The sequence below is a fragment of the Homo sapiens genome, chromosome 13 (genome assembly GCF_000001405.40).
Source record: "Homo sapiens chromosome 13, GRCh38.p14 Primary Assembly".
Taxonomy (NCBI): Eukaryota; Metazoa; Chordata; class Mammalia; order Primates; family Hominidae; genus Homo; species Homo sapiens.
Window position 1 is genome coordinate 52,668,143 of NC_000013.11, and position 19,105 is coordinate 52,687,247.

At 37.3% G+C, this 19,105-nt stretch overlaps 1 protein-coding gene across 6 annotated transcripts in view; it reads left to right on the forward strand.

Annotated features, from left to right (window-relative positions):
- The window catches only part of SUGT1 (SGT1 assembly cochaperone of MIS12 kinetochore complex), a 48,074-nt gene that overhangs the window by 15,307 nt on the left and 13,662 nt on the right, over nucleotides 1-19,105 (forward strand). For all 6 annotated transcript variants that reach the window (NM_001320831.2, NM_001130912.3, XM_017020365.2 and 3 more), the window contains 2 exons: nucleotides 8,088-8,178; nucleotides 11,832-12,013. In NM_001320831.2, coding sequence (NP_001307760.1) covers nucleotides 8,088-8,178; nucleotides 11,832-12,013 — 273 coding nt within the window. The remainder of the gene's footprint in view (nucleotides 1-8,087; nucleotides 8,179-11,831; nucleotides 12,014-19,105) is intronic.

The following is a 19,105-nucleotide window of genomic DNA, read 5'->3' on the forward strand; positions in this document are numbered from 1 at the left end:
CAGCTAATTTTTGTATTTTTGTAGAGATGGGGTTTCACCATATTGGCCAGGATGGTCTTGATCTCCTGACCACGTGATCTGCCCACCTTGGCCTCCCAAACTGCTGGGATTACAGGTGTGAGCCACTGCACCTGGCCTATTACTCCTTTTTTTATACATAGGTCCTGCAGCATACTGTGTTAGTATTTATTAGGTTGAAGCTCTAAGGACATGTGAAGTTTCCTGTTGTGGAACAGGATCGGGGTTGGCCTGTGTTGTGAAGAATGATAATTGGGCCTGCAGAAAGGACACAGCTGCAGAGGGTTGGAGAAGAAAGTGTAAAGTGAAGTAGTTTTTTGCATCCAGTTAAAAAGGATCTGCCTACTTATTTGAAGATTGTCAAGAACAAAGCTGGTTAATTATGAGGCAGATTTTTGAAATAGCTGCTTGGGACAATAGAAAGTGAGGAAAGGGATGAAATCTTACCAGGATTTTGGTCTCTCACTGGTCCTATCCACATAGTATAGAATTTGTTTAATAAAAGAATTTTTAGTAATCAAGCACAAAATAGGTAGATTTGAGAGGGATATAGTTCATAAAATAATGAATTTGACTTTTTTTGGTATATGTCTATCGAGATTGCTAATGCAAGTGAGCTGAGATCACTACGTTGCACTCCAGCCTGGGCAACAGAGTGAGACTCTGTCTCAAAAAAAAAAAAAAAAAGATTGTTAATGCATGTCCATTTGGAGTTATTTAAATTGAGTGTGAATTAATGATAAATGACTTAAGAACTTGTATTACTGAGCCACCTCCTATAGTGGAAGAATATCATGTGTGGTAAATACATAGATGTGTGGCTAGAGTTGAGGATGTAATTAAGCACTCTTATCTCAATTCTTTTTTCTCTTTTGAGTCTTGGATTTGTTAATTTTAACCATTCTTCAACCATACTACTATGTTCTCAGTTTGCCTTTTCTGCCCCTTCCTCTTTAAATGCTAAGTGACGACTTTTCTTCCTTATATAGTAGTTTATGTATACATTTCATGTCCCTCGTTTCTGTGTAAGTCTTTGAGGATAAGAAGCATGTTTTATTTGTATCTTTGTATGTGCCCCAGTTAGGGTCCCCAGATAAAGTTACAAGATGTTCATTTAAGTTTCTATTTAAGATAAACAATGAATAATTTTTATTATGTAAATATGTTTCATGCTATAATTTTATTTGCTAAACTTGGCAGCCCTCACCACATACATTGCACAGTGGGTGCTTAGTTCAGTGAATGAATTAAAATTGGATTTTGGTTTTAGTCCCATGACATTGGCAGAGAATGTTTATTCTTAGTTTTGCAGGTGGAAAAACAATCATGTTAATGGAGTTTAAATACTTTCCCCAAGTTTACCTAGTTAACTAAATTCTTCAGCCTGGCCTAGGAGACGTAGATACACTTCTGATTGCCAACCAAACTAGTGCATCTTTGCTTAGGTTTTTCTAAGTTTTGAATTGGAGAACTTAGATTCTAAGGATGTGTCCTAAAGAATTATTATTTTTCTTGTCCTGACCCTGGAATCTCTGTATTTTATATACCATATATATATATATGTGCACACACAAAATCTTGTTAGATTACTAACTCTTAAACTATTTGGGGGGAAGCAAATTGAAAGAAGTTTTCTTAATTATGTCTTAAGGGAAATAAATGATAAAATCTTTGAATTTCCTTTTTCATACAGTAGAGGGAGACAATATTAAAATACTGAAAATAAAATATCTGGGTTACTGAGGCTTACTTCGTGGACACTTAAGAGACAACAGTACTAAAATAATTTGCTTTTCATGTATTCAGATATCTTGATTGTTGAGATATCTTGGACCTTTGTGAATTGAGAAAGGACGCATTTTGCAGAGGAGAATCTGCTTAATAGTAGAGATTCTGTAAAATTTGCAGCTTAAAAGGGCGATTTCTTTGCTTTTGGGAATTCTCTTTTCTTTCCCACCTTCAAGATTGAATGAATGTTGCATATCCATGTATAGCCAGTGGTTAAATATTATTTATTTGAGTGATATGTAATTTGTGATGAAAGTAGTAAGAGGTAAAACCCTGAAATTAATGAAGTAGCATTTCTTAACTATTTTACAGTGTAGTATCCAATATGTTTTTCCAAGCCAGGATTCATATTTTTTCAGTATCTCTGATAGTTATTGCTACTTTTTACTGAATATCAGCTTTAATGTCAGCCTATTAATTTTTTAGAAATTAAGAAACTATATGTCTTTCATCTTGTTGATTTCATGACACTATTCTCTGGTCACAGTCTCAGAATTGTGACTTTAGTGGCACCCATATTGTGAAATACTCATTTTAAAAATTAATTTTCATTCCCTTTAAGATTTAGAATTCACAAGTCGGGCACGGTGGGTCATGCCTGTAATCCCAACACTTTGGTAGGCCAAGGCGGTCGGATCACTTGAGGTCAAGAGTTCGAGAACAGCCTGGTCAACTTGGTGAAAACCTGTCTCTACTAAAAATACAAAAAATGAACTGGACGTGGTGACGGGTGCCTGTAGTCCCAGCTACTCGGGAGACTGAGGCAGGAGAATCGCTTGAACCTGGGAGGCGGAGGTTGCAGTGAGCCGAGATCATGTCGCGCCACTGCACTCCCGCCTGGGTGACTGAGTGAGACTCCGTCTCCAAAAGAAAAAAAAGAATTAGAATTCTCAGTCTTTTGGGGTGAATTTGCCCTTGTGGAAATGTTCTTGTATTCTTAAGTCATAGTTAAGTCATAGTAATTTTGCTGATTATACAATATAAAATACGAAGGCCTGGAATTGTGAGAAATAAAAATGTCTGTCTTAGAAACAAAATAGCCTCCTTTTCTCTTCTCCCACTTTGAGAAGTTTTAGAGCGTATCCTATTGCTTAATGTTCATAGAAGAATATATGTATGTTAAATAAAAATCCTGGTGATAATATAATGGAATGGGGTATCTGGGCATGATGCTTCCTTCTGCTTGTCTGAATACATAGATATGAGAGTTTTTAAAATTATTGTTTTCTTTTGCTTTTTTAGTACAGTGGTGGTGATAATAGTGAGATTTCTTTTTTAACTGAATTAGTTTAAAAAAAGATCACAAATTGTAGATCTTGGAATGTATTCTTATCTTTTCATATATTTTGTAATGTATATTTATATATTTTTAAAAGAATTTTACATAATTTTTAAACAGCTACATTTTGTTGATATTTTTATCACATCCTTACATATTCAACAGCAAAGTATTTCGGCATATGCATGTACTGTAGCTTATTTAGCCAGTCCCATTTTGTTTGACCTGTGGAGAATAAGAATAGGTGTTTTGACTGTTTTATCACATTCCAGGCACTGTACTATGAATTATCTCATGTAATTCTCATAGTTACTGCATGGTGTAGGTATTTTTATCCCTAGTTTACAGGTAGAGAAACTTAACCCAGAGATGTTCAATAATTTGCCCAGGTTTTTTAGCTGAGGATATTGATAATAGCATTCTGTTGTTATTTGCCAGACGTGGTTCTTTATTCTTTTCATACATAGTGTCATTTAATCTTCTTGAGAACCCTAAATGAGTCAGGGCCTACTGTTCTCATTTTATAGGAGAAACTGAGGCTCGCTGAGATTGAGTTGCTTGCTTATGGTCATATATCTAACCAATGGCACCTATTTGTGACTCTTCTAACTATACAACTGATTGTTTTTGTGTTATTCTCAACCCCTGGTTATTTCTTAGGAAATAAGTTAAAATTCTAGCTGAAAAATGCGCTTACAGCAAATTATTTCATATCTTGGCTCCCACATCTCTAAAATATGGATAACAATCTTTTTTAATAGGGTGATTCCGTTAAGTAAGATGATATATGTGAAGCATGTAGCATGCAGGATATGTAATAAGAGCTCAATAAATGTTACAGTACCTTTCTTACTGTTTTATTTTAGTTATTTCGATTTTTATTCGGGCTGTAAACTCAGCAAATGCGTTATCATAGAAAATCTGGAAAAGATAAAGGAGTTTAGGAAGTAATCACTCAGACTCACCACTCAGATGACATTCTAGCATGTTTCCTTTCAGATAACCTGATATTTCCTGATACATAGGTCAGTCACTACACCTGACACATACTGGAATCTTTTTGTTTATGGGAATGTCTCTCCTGATTAATTACTTTAAGAAGAACAGAGGCTGTGTCCTTATGTACCAGCACTGTTTCTGGCACAGAGTAGGTACTCAGCAAATATTTGAAATGAGCTGTTAGAAGTTTGGAGAAGACCTTCAATCTTCTCCATTCATTGCCATTTTTTTGCATTTAAAAAATGATTATAGAAATATTTTAGTGTAAAATCAAGGTAGATGTATTAGTCTGGGCTCGAAGGCAGCTATTTTCAGACAAAGGAATTTGATGTAGCAATTAAATGTGAAAAGAGCTTAGTAAGAGTATGTTGGGAAGGCTGTATTCTGAAGATTAGGGGAACAATTATTTAATGAGTACAGTCTTGAAGTGTATGGTTCTTAAAAGTTTGCCAATAAATTGCCCCAGCTCTTTAGTCTCTGGGAAAGATCCCTTCATGTCAGTCTGTAATAGTAGGTGGGATCTTACTTACCACTTAAGATGGTGGTGTCTGGATATCATGATTGCTTAAGCGTAATGCCATCTCTTTAAATCTGAAATTTCTTTCATTGGAAAGAATTAAACTCTCTGCTATGCAGAGGAGACTTCAGAAGTGGATGGTAGTACCTATGCTGTTGAGAGCTAATGATCCAGCACATTAGGGATTCTTAGTGTAATCTGTGAATACTCTTTTGGGATATTAGCAACTTGAGAGCCTTCCCTGTACATATGAGAGCAACATTCAAGCAAACTACCAAAGTTTTAAGTTACTTTTAAAGTTTTTTTGACTTAAATGAAAATAGAATGGTATGTTAATGGTTGCAGTAAAAACCTCTGAAATTGGACTGGTGCTAATTCTAGAACTATCTGCCCGAATCATGAAGACTTAAAACTTCATTTTTAAAAGCATGTACAAACATTGAAAGTGAATTAAATGTAAAAAGGATTTCATAGGACATTAGTCCCTCCCTTCTTTTACTTTTTTTTTTTTTGTGTGGGGGTAGATAGGGTCTCACTCTGTTGCCCATGCTGGAGTGCAGTGGAGTGATCATGGCCCACTGTGGCCTCAACCTCTTGGGCTCATGTGATCCTCCCACTTCAGCCTCCCAGAGTGCCAGGATTACACGTGTGAGCCAACACACCTGGCCCCTTTTACCTTTTTAAAAAAGCTACTTTAAGTGGTTTATTACATGCAGCTATTTTAATGAATGGATTAAGTATAATTTCAAGTTGAGGTCAGCTTGTCTCAGCTGAAGCAGGTTGTTACTAAGAGCTTTGCCTTTTGCTTTATAAAGTCCTCTTTGTTCATACTGCACAGTTACTCAGGTTATAGTGGCTTTCAGTAGATGCGAATGCTACTCTGTGCTGCTCTTCAGGTGAAACAAGGAACTTTTTATAGACAGTATGTTCATAGTTACAGGAACATGAAGTGTGAATATAGGGTGGCCTGTGGCCAAGTTTAATGTGGTGATGTACACAGTACTTTCCAGGCCCTCATTTTTTAGATGAGTTGAAAATTAAAGAAGATGCAATTTTAATTTTTCAGATAATATTAACAGTTCTTTTCAGTAACTATTGCTGTGTCATTGCCATCTATTTGATTTATGTCCCTTTTGATAAATATCGTAGCAGTGACAACTTAAAGTAACCAGAATATAGAAGATATTGGTGGTATATTACTTTATAAAAAATTAATTGTAGTTAACTTTAGGGAATTCTAGAGATTCTTATGAAATATGTTTTTATATATGTAGAGTTTAAACATGTAAATTACACCAAAGATAGTATACTTTTTTTTTTTTTTTTTTTTTGACAGAGTCTCGCTCTGTTGCCCAGGCTGAAGTGCAGTGGCACGATCTTGGCTCACTGCAGCCTCCGCCTCCCAGATTCAAGCAATTCTGTCTCAGACTCCCGAGTAGCTGAGACTACAGTCACATGCCACTATGCCTGGCTATTTTTTGTATTTTTAGTAGAGACAGGGTTTTGCCATGTTGGCCGGGCTGGTCTTGAACTCCTGACCTCAGGTGATCTGCCTGCCTCGGCCTCCTAAGGTGCTGGGGTTACTACTCTTTGCCCTTATCCCAGTGACGTTTGCTTCATATTTTTCTCTTATTATGAAAACAGTCGTTTATTACATTTCTTTGCTCCAAAAGAAAATAAAAATAAACGCTTGAGACCAGATACCCCACATACATATACCATCATTTTATCTCTGATTAAAAATATTGGCAGTTTTTCCCTGTGTTAGCGCTTGTTAAGGTATTTTAAGGTGCAAATTTTGAAGGTCCTTTTGCTAAATGCATTTGGTATAAAGATGGCCTGGAATTGCTAGTTTAATGAGTCATCTGATAAAAGATAAAAGAACCAAAGGGTGAATAGACTTCTTTTTTTAAGTCTGCCTTTTGATTTTTTAATCCCATTTACAAAAGTAGTGATCCTTTTCATAGGAAAAAAACATGAGAATATAAAATTCTAATTCAATTGCTCATTTAAACTGTTTTATATAATGTTTATTATAGTGCTTACTTTAATATTTGCACTAAAAATGCTGATATTAGCCTGTTAAAATAGAGGTGAGAGCATTATTTGAATAAAGAAAACAAAAGGTAGATAAAATGCTATGTGATTGTGTGTGTTGGGGGCAAGGATAGACTCAGAGGCCTAGCCTTAATTAGATAGTAAAAGATGCTATTAGGATACTATTAACTTTTCATTTTAATAAGTGAACTTAGTCTTCTCGGTAAGTAAGTGAACTTAGTCTTCTCAGTACTCCCCGATGCAGTGTCCTTTCATACCCATGCTCCAGTTAGGCCATTCCCTATGCTCTGGAGACCTACCCCTTCACTCTTGCAAATGCTTCTACCCTTCAGAGCCCTTCAAGATGTATAAAGCGTTTCCCCTTCACAGTCAGGTGTGCTCTCTCCTGAGCTTTTAGAACATTTACTTATTTAGAACTTCAGTAACTTTCTTAAAGTATCTCACATACTTCCAAATGGTCGAGGATGTGTCTTTAATATTTTAAAAATCCACCTGGGCTTGGTGGCTCATGCCTGTAATCCTAGCACTTTGGGAGGCTGAGGTGGGAGAATGGCTTGAGGCCAGGAGTCTGAGACCAGCCTGGGCAACCTAGTGAGACTCTGTCTCTACGAAAAATTTTAAAAACATTAGCCAGGAGTGGTGGCACTTGTCTGTAGTCCCAGCTACTTGGGAAGCTGAGGCTGGAGGATCACTTGAGCCCAGGAGTTCAAGTCTAGAGTGAGCTATGATCCTTCTACTGCACTCCAGCCTGGGAGACAGAGCAAGACCCTGTCTCTAAAAATAAAACAAAAATCTCCCACAGCCTTGAAGACTGTACTGTCTCATAGTAGGTGCTTAGTAATTATTTGTTGAATGAAAGATTGCCTGAATGTTAACATGAGTTGTATTGTGTTTATACAGTGAAATAAGTTTCTCCACTGTAAAACAGGTTAATGCACATGTAAATGCAGTAATTCTTTTAGAATCAGATTTCTCTGTAATGGCATTATTGACATTTTGGGGAATTGCCCAGTACATTGTAGGATGTTTAGTAGCAACCGTGGTCTCTACTCAATAGATGTCATTATCACCTCTTCCCTCACTGCAGTATGACAACCCACAATGTCTCCAGACATGGCTAAATGTCCCCTGGGTGGCAGAATCATCCCTGGTTCAGAACATTGCTTTGGATGAAAAAAAGCATATGTATTTCAAGTCTCTTCTTGATTATAGCTTATATATAGTGTGTATGTTGTTTTTTTTCAAGGGTGAATTTTGAGTGTAGAAACAAAATTGTTTCATAGTTTTTCAAATTTAACCTTGTATAATTTAAGGAAACTGTCAAAGATACTATTCTTAACAAAACTTTGATGACTTAAGAAAACTGCATTTTTTACTGTTTTGTGTATTTTACGTCGAGTAATGGAGTTTATTTGGTGTTTCCTCCAGATTGAAATTAAACTGAAAAAGCCAGAGGCTGTGAGATGGGAAAAGCTAGAGGGGCAAGGAGATGTGCCTACGCCAAAACAATTCGTAGCAGGTTTGTTTTCTGGCCTTGATGAGCTTTATATTCATATTGTGTTGTGTAATTGAAATTAAATAGTAATGAACATTCTTTTTACTTTCATTATTTATGTTCTCAAGATAAGATACATTGAGTATAATAAGGTTGCTCCGTAATGAATATAAAGTAGCCTTTCTGTGAAAGTTCTGACTTCTCAAATTCTAAGAATACAAATGAATGGCAGCAAAATCCTAGAGGGAGTTGGGATTTATTGTTTACCATGTAAAGTTTATGACATCAGTTGGAGGGTGTTTAGTTTTGCGTGTTGGCCCTTCCTGTTGTTTCTTTTTGGGTTGTAAGTTGGTTTACTCGGCGGATATATTTCCCCTTCTTCCCTCTCCCTTTCTTAATTCCTTTCTGTTCCTTCTACTGATACTGTCATCTAATTGCCTGGAATTTGCAGGGCTTTACAGGGTAAGGTATCTACCCCATTTCTTATTGCTAATTTAGAGATGGACGCAAATAGGTGGTAAATGCCAAAGGAAAGTCTAGGAGAAGAGTAGAAAACCAGGCTTCATTGTATATATAACCCTGTAAGAAACAGAACTTTGTGTTGAGGTCAATTTTAAGTATGTGCAATAACTAGGTAAGAATTTTTCTAGTGGACAAATTCACAGCACACTCAGAACTACAACCTAAGATTATATTTTATAGCAATAGCTTCATTAATGAGTGGAGGGAAATTTCTTTTTATTGGAAGTAATGGTCTGATTTAATGACTGAAACAAGCTAACATGTGTCTCAGCTTTTTCTGATTTTGACTGCTTTCTTCTGTAACAGAAAACACATTTCCTTGTGGCACCTTTTAGAAAACACTGAGTTATTCAACAGATCATTTGTGTGTGTGTTTGTGTGTGTGTGTATAGTTATTTCTTAAGAAATAATTTTGGATGTTTAGAAATTTCAAAAATAAGAGATTCTCATATAGCTTTCACCCAGTTTCCCCCATTGATAGTGTCTTAACTAGTCCAATGATTACCTCTTAAGTAGTCTGTGGTATAATTTTCAAAATCAGGGTATTAACACCAACAGATACTTTTTAAGGACTGAAGTATATCTAGTTGGTATTTAAGGTATTTAAGCATCTGCTTCACACTTTATTTGAAAGATGTATGTGTTTCTTTTAGGACTGACTCCAATAGATTTTGAGGCTGAGGTTTATATGTAGCTGAAAGCTTTAAAAAATATATAATCACTTTAAATGTAGTATCTTACTTAATTCTAACAGCCCTGCATAACAGGCAGCCCCTTAGTATTCCTCCCATTTTGCAGGCTCAGAAAAGTTAAGCTCAAGATTATCCCTCAGTTCTCATTGTCTAGGACTAAAATCTAGGTCTTCTCAGTTGGGTCCAGTTATTCTGTTAACCCGTTGTCTACTTGTTGCATACTGCTTGTTGTTGCATTTTCTAACAATGGAAACAGTCTTTGCCGACATGAGTATCTAGTAGTTATTTGATATTATAGTGAATGAGCAGGGAGGTTAGATTACTCATCTCTCAGTAGTTCATCTGCCATCTCCAGGTGTTAAAAGTTTTTCTGAGATTAAAGATCAAGGCTTTTTAGTGTTACAGTTACCATGTTTTTTCTAAACTCAACACCTTAGATATTCAAGATGATACTCTTCCTGTCCTGTTTTTGTAAGAAATTAATATACTTGTCAGATTCCTGTGTATTGCAAGCTGGAGACTGTAGATAAGGGCAAGTCACTTAACCTATCTGACCCAGCTTGCTTATCTACAAAATAGAGATTAAAACCTCTGTTCTCATCCTTCCTGGGAGTCAGCATTAGGATTAATTAAATCCATATTTCCCAGGCTCTTAACTTACCATGGCACGCATTTTTTGTTTTACCTGGCTACTAGTGAAAATGTACAAAGATAGAAGGATATCTAGTAGAAGGAAGGTGGATAGGATTTTCAAAACAATATATTTGGCCCTGAAAAAAAACTATGTGTTGGTGTTGTGTGTGTTGTTTTGTTTTGAGGAGGAATGGGCAGGGAGAAAGTCGGTTTACAAGTGAAGAGAAAGCGTAGAAAAACAGTGGATGTTAGTTTCTCAGCTATTTTGACAAAAGGGATGTAGAGAGCAGTATTGGGAGGAACATTTAGATTAGTACTAATGTGTCCTAATACATACTGATGGGGAAATTTTGAATTGGGTTTTTTGAAAACTGTAGCTCTTTTGTCCAACACAGTAGCTGCTAGCCACATGTTACCTGTTGAGCACTTGAAATATGACTAGTCTGCATTGAGATGATGTGCTATGTGAAATATATGCTACAGTTTGAAGAGTTAGTATGAAAAAAAGAATATAAAATATCTTCATTTTTTTTGTTGGTTTTTTTTTTTTTTTAAGAGAGAGTCTTGCTGTGTCACCCAGGCTGGAATGCAGTGGCACTGTCATGGCTCAGTGTAGCCTCAACCTCCTGGACTCAAGCAGTCCTCTACCCCAACCTTCCGAGTAGCTGGTACTGCAGGCATGTGCCACCACGCCCAGCTAATTATTATTATTTTTTTTTCATAGAGATGGGCTCTCACTATGTTGCCCAGGCTGGTCTCACACTTCTGGCCTCAAGCAATCCTCCTACTTGGCCTCCCAAAGTGCTGGGATTATAGGTGTGAGCCCCCATGCCCGGCCTCTGTTGGTTTCAAGTCAATATGATACTATATTTGATATATCAGGTTAAATAAAATGTATTATTAAACTGCATTTCACCTGATTCTTTTTAGTAATGTAGTTACTAGGAAGTTTTAAATTATATATGTGACTCACATTTGAGGCTGTCATTATATTTTCATTGGATAGTCAACAGAGCTGCTCCTATAGCTACTAGGTTGTCTAGTTATTTTCTAATTATTTGTGTGCCAAGATCTTGATGCCTTTGGTCTTTGGAGCAATCTTGGCAGTACCCCGAGCCCCTGGGCCAGTAGCCTCTCTCGCTGCAAGCAGCTCTGTTTACTCCAGTGTGCCCTACAAATACTATTATTTGCTAGGTGTATGGGATGTGGGCATTGAACTTTAGATCATCAAGTGTAGTACTTTAAACATTTAGAAATTACTTACTGTTATTGCCTATTAAAATAATCTTACTTTTTTGATGGGAGAGTATGGAGTGGCATGGATGATTATTTATATTTTCAGGCTATTTATACTCTGAAAGATACTAAGTACTTTAGAAAAAGTCACATTTTTAACATTTATTAAAATCTTAGTTACAAAAGATTTCTTAGGCATCCTTTAAAAAATTTCATTTTTAGAATTGTTCGTACTGTCTCTGCAACTTTTCTGAAAACATAAAAGTTCTGTATACTTTTCATCTAGTTTCTGTTATCAACATGAAGAATCTGCTTTTAATCTAATTTTGTATAGCATATCAAAAGTTTACACTTTATTGAGTTATTTTGCTCAAAAGAAATCCCCAGATTTTACATTATGGTAACTGACTCAGTTTTTAGAAATGTGAATTTTGTTATTGACCTATATACCAGAAAGACACTTATTGCATACCTGAAATTCAGTAACCTAAACTGTTTGCTAAGATGTTCCATATACATGGTCACAAAGTTTACATATTCTCGACATAATTGAAACATGTTGATTAATTACTTCTGCCTTTTTTTACTTCATAGATGTAAAGAACCTATATCCATCATCATCTCCTTATACAAGAAATTGGGATAAATTGGTTGGTGAGATCAAAGAAGAAGAAAAGAATGAAAAGTTGGAGGGAGATGCAGCTTTAAACAGATTATTTCAGCAGATCTATTCAGATGGTTCTGATGAAGTGAAACGTGCCATGAACAAATCCTTTGTAAGAATATAAACTTAAAGAAATATATATGGGAGCAAATTTTACATATTTTAAACGAGAAAATTGGTAATGTGAGACCAAATTGCGTGTACTATAGCTGGGAGAACTTTTTGAATAAGGTCTGTCTGAACGTTTCTTTTTGCTCTAAGAGTAATTTTTGAGGAAGTTGAAAACTTATGGAAGAGATGAGAAACAAGTGGTTTATCTTAAATAGGTATTTTTTATCAGTGAGTTAGATTGATATGGAGTCATCTCACTTGGATTTATCCCAGTAGCTGAGTGAACTTCTGTTGTTTCCCTTCTAGACTCATATGTAGCCTCAGTGTTAGAGATGAAGAATATAGATACGAAACTTTTCAGAATAGTGTTTGCAAGTAGAAGGTGCACGTTATTCATTGGTTTAACAACTCTCTTGATTAAGAAAATTCAGGCTTTTTGTCAGGGCAGCATAAATACCTAAATTAGACCTCAAAATTTTAGTAATAATTCGTCATTGTATATTTAGCTTGCAGTTGTAATCATGTGACTTTTATTAATACCAGTAGCTCTGGAAATATGACTCTTTTAAGACATATTTACAGTAGAAAGTTAAAATTAGTATTTTAATTTAATATTTAGTTAATGTGGTTGAGGCTTAGGTATTTCACACTTAAGAAATCTGTGGTAATTGGTCATGATTGTGCTTTTCACAGTTTATTTATTTAGAGACAAGGTCTCACTCTGTTGCCCAGGCTTGAGTACAGTGGCGTGATCTCGGCTCACTGCAGCCTCTGTCTGCCGGGCTCAAGTGATTTTCCTACCTCAGCCTCTGCAGTAGCTGGGACTATAGACATGCACCACCACGCCTGGCTACTTTATTTCTTGTAGAGGTGGGGTTGCGCCACGTTGCCCAGGCTGGTCTCGAACTCCTGGCTTCAAGCAATCTAGCCGCCTCAGCCTCCCAAAGTGCTGGGATTACAGGCGTGAGGCACCTCAACCAGCCTCACTATTGATTAAAAAATTTTTTTTCATCACTTTTGGGAGACTGAGGTGGGAGGATCACTTGAGCTAAAGATCTTGAGATTAGCCTGGGCAACATAGAGAGACCCTATCTCTACAAAAAAAAAAAAAAAATTAGCTAGGCCTGGTGGCATGTGTCTGTGGTCTTAGCTACTTGGGAAGGTGAGGTGGGAGGATCTCTTGAGCCTGGGTGGTCAAGGTTGCAGTGAGCTGTTTTTTTGTGCCACTGAACTACAGCCTGGGCAACAGAGACCCTGTCTCAAAAAAAAAAAAAAAGTCTTCATTAAACTTTTAGTTTTGAGATAATTGTAGATTGACATGCAATCCTAAGAAATGAGATTCTTTGTACCTTTTACAAAGTTTCCATTGATGGAAACATTTTGTCAAAACTATGCTACAACATCACAACCATGATACTGACAGTTAAGATAGGGAACCTTTAATCCCAGTGCTTTGGGAGTCTGAGGCCACAGGATCCCTTGAGGCTAGACCAGCCTGGACAATATGGTAAGTTCTGGTCTCTACAAGAAATTTAAAAGCTACCTTGGCATGATGTTGTGCCCCTGTCAGCTCAGGCGTCTGCGGCAAGAGTATTGTTTGAGCCCAGGAGTTCAAGGTTGCAGTGAGCTATGATCGTGCCACTACACTTAGCTTGGGCAGCAAAGTGAGACCCTATCTCTTTAAAAAAAAAAAAAAGAGAGAGAGAGAGATAGAACATTTTCATGGATTCCAAGGATCCCTTATGTTGCTATCTTATGGCCATACTAACCCCACCCCCACCCTTCCATGATCCCTGATGATCACAAATCTGGCAATCTTTGTCAGATATGTAGTTTACACATATTTTCTCCCAGTATGTAGTTTTCATTTTCTTAATAGGGTCTTTCATAGAACCAAAATATTTCATTTTGATTAAGTCTAATTTACCGCTTTTTATGGATCATGCTTTTAGTTTCAGGTCTTATTAACTCTTTGCCTAGTCCTAGATCTCAAAGACTCTCTCCTATTTAAAAAATAAATAAAAGTAATATTGTTTTACATATTACATTTATTTTTTATTTAGAGACAGGGTCTCATTCTGTCACCCAGGCTGAAGTACAGTGGCACAGTCACAGTTCACTGTAACCTCAAAGTCCTGGGCTCAAGTGATCCTTATGCCTCAGCCTCCCAAGTAGATGGGACTACACATCCATGCTGCCATGCCTGGCTAATTTTTAAAATTTTTTGTAGAGGTGGGGGTGTCTCCGTATTGCTTAGGGTGGTCTCGAACTTCTGACCTCAAGCAGTCCTTCGGCCTTGGCTTCCTGAAGTGCTAGAGTTACAGGCGTGAGCCACAGCACCTGGCCTACATATTACATTTAAGTCTGTGATGCATTTTGAATTTTTATGTCAAGTGTGAGATTTAACTTGAGGTTCCTTTTTGTGGGGTGGATAGTATGTTCGGGTGTTCTGGCACCTATCTTTTCTCATTGAATTGCTTTTGCACCTTTCTTAAAAATCAGTTGAGCGTATTTGTGTGAGTCTATTTCTAAGTTCCCCACTGTGTTAGATTGAGCTGTATGTGATCTATATGTATGTTCCTCTGTCAGTCCCACTGTCTTAAGCTGTAGCTGTTTAAGTCTGAAATTGGGCAGACTCATTCCTCCTACTTTATCCTTTATTTTCACAATTGTTTTTAGATATTCTAACTCATTTGTCTTTCCATGTAAATTTTAGAATAAAGTGATTATATATAATTTTGGTGTTCATTACTAGAATCTAGACATACAGTTAATTTTATGTTTATCTTGTATTCTGTGACATTGCTGGACTCAGTTCTAGGAGTATTTTTGGATAGATTGTCATTTTTTTAATGTGGACAATCATCTTCAAATATGGAGGTTTTATTTATCTGCAGATACGGAGAGTTTTATTTCTCCCTTTTCTATCTGTATGCCTTTTATCTCCTTTTCTTGCTATATTTCACTGGCTGCAACTTCCGCACTGTGTTGAATAAGAGTAGTGAGAGTGGACATCCTTGCCTTGTTTCCCATTTTAAGGGAAAAGTATCTGTTGTTTCATCATTAAGTATAATGTTAACTGTAAATTTTTGGTAGATGATCTTTGTCAAGTTATGAAAGTTCTGTTGTATTCCTATTTTTCTGAAATTTTTTTATCATTAACTTTCAATATTAACTTTTTGTCAGATGTTTTGTCTGTGTTGATTGATAGGATTATATGATTTTTCTTCCTTAGCCTGTTAATATGGTGATTTTATATGATTAATATGATTGATTTTCAAGTATTGAGACAGTCTTGCATGAGCCCTACTTTGTCATATAGTGTATCTCTTAATTCTATCTTCTAATGTTTTGTTATGGGTTATTGTGTCTATATTCATGAGGAATATGAGTCTAATTTTCTTTTTGTGCTATCTTTGGTTTGGCATCAGAGTAATACTTCATAAAATGAATTAGGAAGCATTGCATCCTCTTCTGTTTTTTAGAAGATATTGTGTATAATTGGTGTTAACTTTTCTTAAGTATTTGGTAGAACTCACCAGTGAAACGGTCTGGGCCTGGAGATTTCTTTATTAGGAGATTTACAGTTATGAATTTAGTTAACCTAAAAGTTTTTATAGGACTGTTCCAATTATCTATTTCATATGGGTGACTTGTGGTTTGTTTCTGATAAATTTATCCATTTTGTCCAAGTTGTCAGTGTTTGTATAGTCCCTTATTCTTTTTGTTTTTTGTCTTTTGTTCTTGAGACGGCATTTTTCTATCGCCCAGGCTAGAGTGTAGTAGTGTGATCATAGCTCACTGCAGCCTCAACTTCCCAGGCTCAAGTGATCCTCTCATCTCAGCCTCTCCAGTAGCTGGGACTACAGGCATGTGCCGTCACATCCAACTAATTTATTTTAATTTAATTTAATTTTATTTTATTTTGTAGAGATGGGGTTTTGCCATGTTGCCCAGTCTGGTCTGTAACTCCTGAGCTCAAGCGATCCGCCCACCTTGGCCTCCCAAAGTGCTAGGATTACAGGAGTGAGCCCCCATGCCTGGCCTCCCTACTCTTTTGATGTCTGCAGGGTTTATAGTGATATCTTTTTATCATTCTTATAATAGTAATTTGTGTCTTTTCTCTTTTTTCTTTGTCAGCCTTGCTAGAGGTTTAAAGGACACCTTATCTAGCATATGCTTACCCATTAGCTAGATTTGCTTATGTTATTGAATTTTTTCTTCCAAAGAATTAGCTCTTTGTTTCGTTTTTTCCTCTATTTTTTTGTTCTACATTTTTTTATTCATTTCTATTTTTATTTTCTTCCTTCTGCTTGCTTTAAGGTGCATTTTGTTCTTACTTTTCTAGGTTCTTAAGATGTACATTTGTCTATTATCTATTTCTATCTATTCACTCATTTTTGAGACAGGGTCTCCCTCTGTCGCCCAGAGGGGAGTGCAGTGGTGCGATCGTGGCTCAGTGCAGCCTTGACCTCCTGGGCTCGAGTAATCCTCCTGAGTAGCTGGGATCACAGGCATGCGCCACCATTCTCAGTTAATTTTTTTTTATTTTTTGTAGAGACGAGGCCTCCCCATATTGCCCAGGCTGGTCTTGAACTCTTGAACTCAAGCAGTCCTCCCATGTTGACCTCCCAAAGTGCTGAGATTACAGGCATGAGCCACCACGCCTGGCCTGTTGTCTGAAAGTTTTCTGTTTTCCTAGGCAGCGTCCTTCCCTGATCTCTTGGCAAGAGAGAGCAGGGGTTTGTTGGGACTTTTTTTTTTTTTCCTTGTTTGTGCCCCTTGGTGTTTCCAGCTTCTTCAGCTCCAAGTCTAGGATATATGAGGCAAAAAGAAAACCCAGAATTTGCCACCACGTCATTTCTTGAGTCCCAAGGTCCCTGGTAGGTCTATCTTCACTTTACCTTTTGGTGTCTTTTTTTTTTTTTTCTAGTCAGGGTCTTGCTCTATTGTTCCAGCTGGAATACAGAGGTGCGATCATGAATCATTGCAGCCTTGAACTCCTGAGCTGAAGTGATCCTCCCACCTGAGCCTCCTAAGTAGCTTGCACTATAGGTGTGCACCACCACACCTGGCTATTTTTCTTCTTCTTCTTCTTCTTCTTTTTTTTTTTTTTTTTTTTGTAGAGATAAGGTCTCCTATGTTGCCCAGGCTGTTCTTGAACTCTTGGACTTAAGCAGTCCTCCTGCCTTGTCCTCCCAAAGTACTGGGATTCTAGGTGTGAGCCACTGCACCTGGCCCCTTTTAGAGTCTTTTTACCTCTGTTTCATATGTAGCATCTAGGGTGTTTAGATTTACTACTGGGAAGAATAGGAAAAGTACATCTACTTGATCTTCCCAGGAGAAGTCATTCTCACTTTCTACTTTTAAAAGTGTGGTAGACAAAATTAGCAGTATGTCAGATCAAAGATGTCAAGTCAAGTCAAATCAAAGATCAAAGATAGAATCTGAACTCATTTTCATATAGAAACTTTGACAATTATAACCAAATTGTGTATACCCATAAAATAAGCCATCTGTGCAGCAACATTGATCTGGAATATACGAGGGGCTTCTGTCCTTGTGAGAATATGAAAGAAACTAGACTTTGTTCTCTATAATCTCCTTATCTAATTGGGACAAAAGACCAAGATATACAAAATAATCAAAGGGAAATGCTAAATTGCCCTGCAGTCTATTAGGAGAGATGCGGGGGTGGGGCGATAAGTGTCATCAGCAAATATGGTCAGATTGTAAACCAAATCCACAACTGAAGGTCCTCTTGGGGTAGTTTGTGTTTGTCTGTTTATTTGAGAGAGAGTTTCACTCTGTCACTCAGGCTGGAATGCAGTGGCGCTGTCTCAGCTCATTGCAACCTCTGCCTGCCAGGTTCAAGTGATTCTCGTGACTCAGCCTCTAGAGTAGCTGGGACTACGGGCGCATGCCACTACGCCTGGCTAATTTTTGTAGTTTTAGTAGAGATGGAGTTTCACCACGTTGGCCAGGCTGGTCTTGAACTCCTGACCTCAGGTGATCTGCCCGCCTCAGCCTCCCAAAATGCTGGAATTACAGGTGTGAGCCACTACGCCTGGCCTTGGGGTAGTTTATTATACAGACTTGTCAAATGTAATTCAGTCATTTTATTTAAAGCCCACTGTGTGCTAGGCCACTGTGCTTAGAACTACGATATGAATATTAGTAAAATGTACTCCTTGCCCTTAATGAGCTGTCAGCATTAGTTGAAGTCAAGGGTGGAAAGCAGATCTAAGAAGATAGAACCTTAAATTGCAACAATGCACTGTGACACATGTTATGTAAATGGTAATTAGGCTCACACAGAAGACAAATTTACAGGAATAGAGAAATAAGAGGTCAGAGAAAGCCACATAGAGGTGGTGACATTTCATGTTTGGAAGATGACTAAGGACACAAAAATCTCTGCCATGCAAAAAAGCCCATGTAAGGGAGCTCGGTAGAGCGTGTCGGACATGGGGTTACATTGAGGTTCCAATGTGTAGGATATGTAACTGTATACATTGGCCACTAACACAGTTGTTTATTTTTAAATGTTTATATTGTAATAATTCGCTCTATTCTTTGATGTGGTTCAAATCCATTGATTTTTATCATGTTAAAATAAGAAATATCCAGATGGGGCTGGGTGCGGTGGCTCATGCCTGTAATCCCAGCACTTTGGGAGGCCAAGGTGGGCGGATCACCTGAGGGTCGGGAGTTCGAGACCAGCCTGACCAATATGGAGAAACCCTGTCTCTACTAAAAATACAAAATTAGCCGGGCATGGTGGTGCATGCCTGTAATCCCAGCTACTCGGGAGGCTGAGGCAGGAGAAGCGCTTGAACCTGGGAGGCAGAGGTTGCGGTGAGCCCAGATCGTGCCATTGCACTCCAGCCTGGGCAATGAGTGAACTCCGTCTCAAAAAAAAAAAAAAAAAAAAAAAAGAAATGTCCAGATGGTTTTTTAAAATATATTAATGAATATGCTTGGGTTGTTGGTAGGTGGTATATTCAGTAGATGGTAAATAAATGACCAATTCTTCAGTGAGACACTGACTTTCTATACCTGCATTTATGTACCTTGATTTTTAAAAATTTTT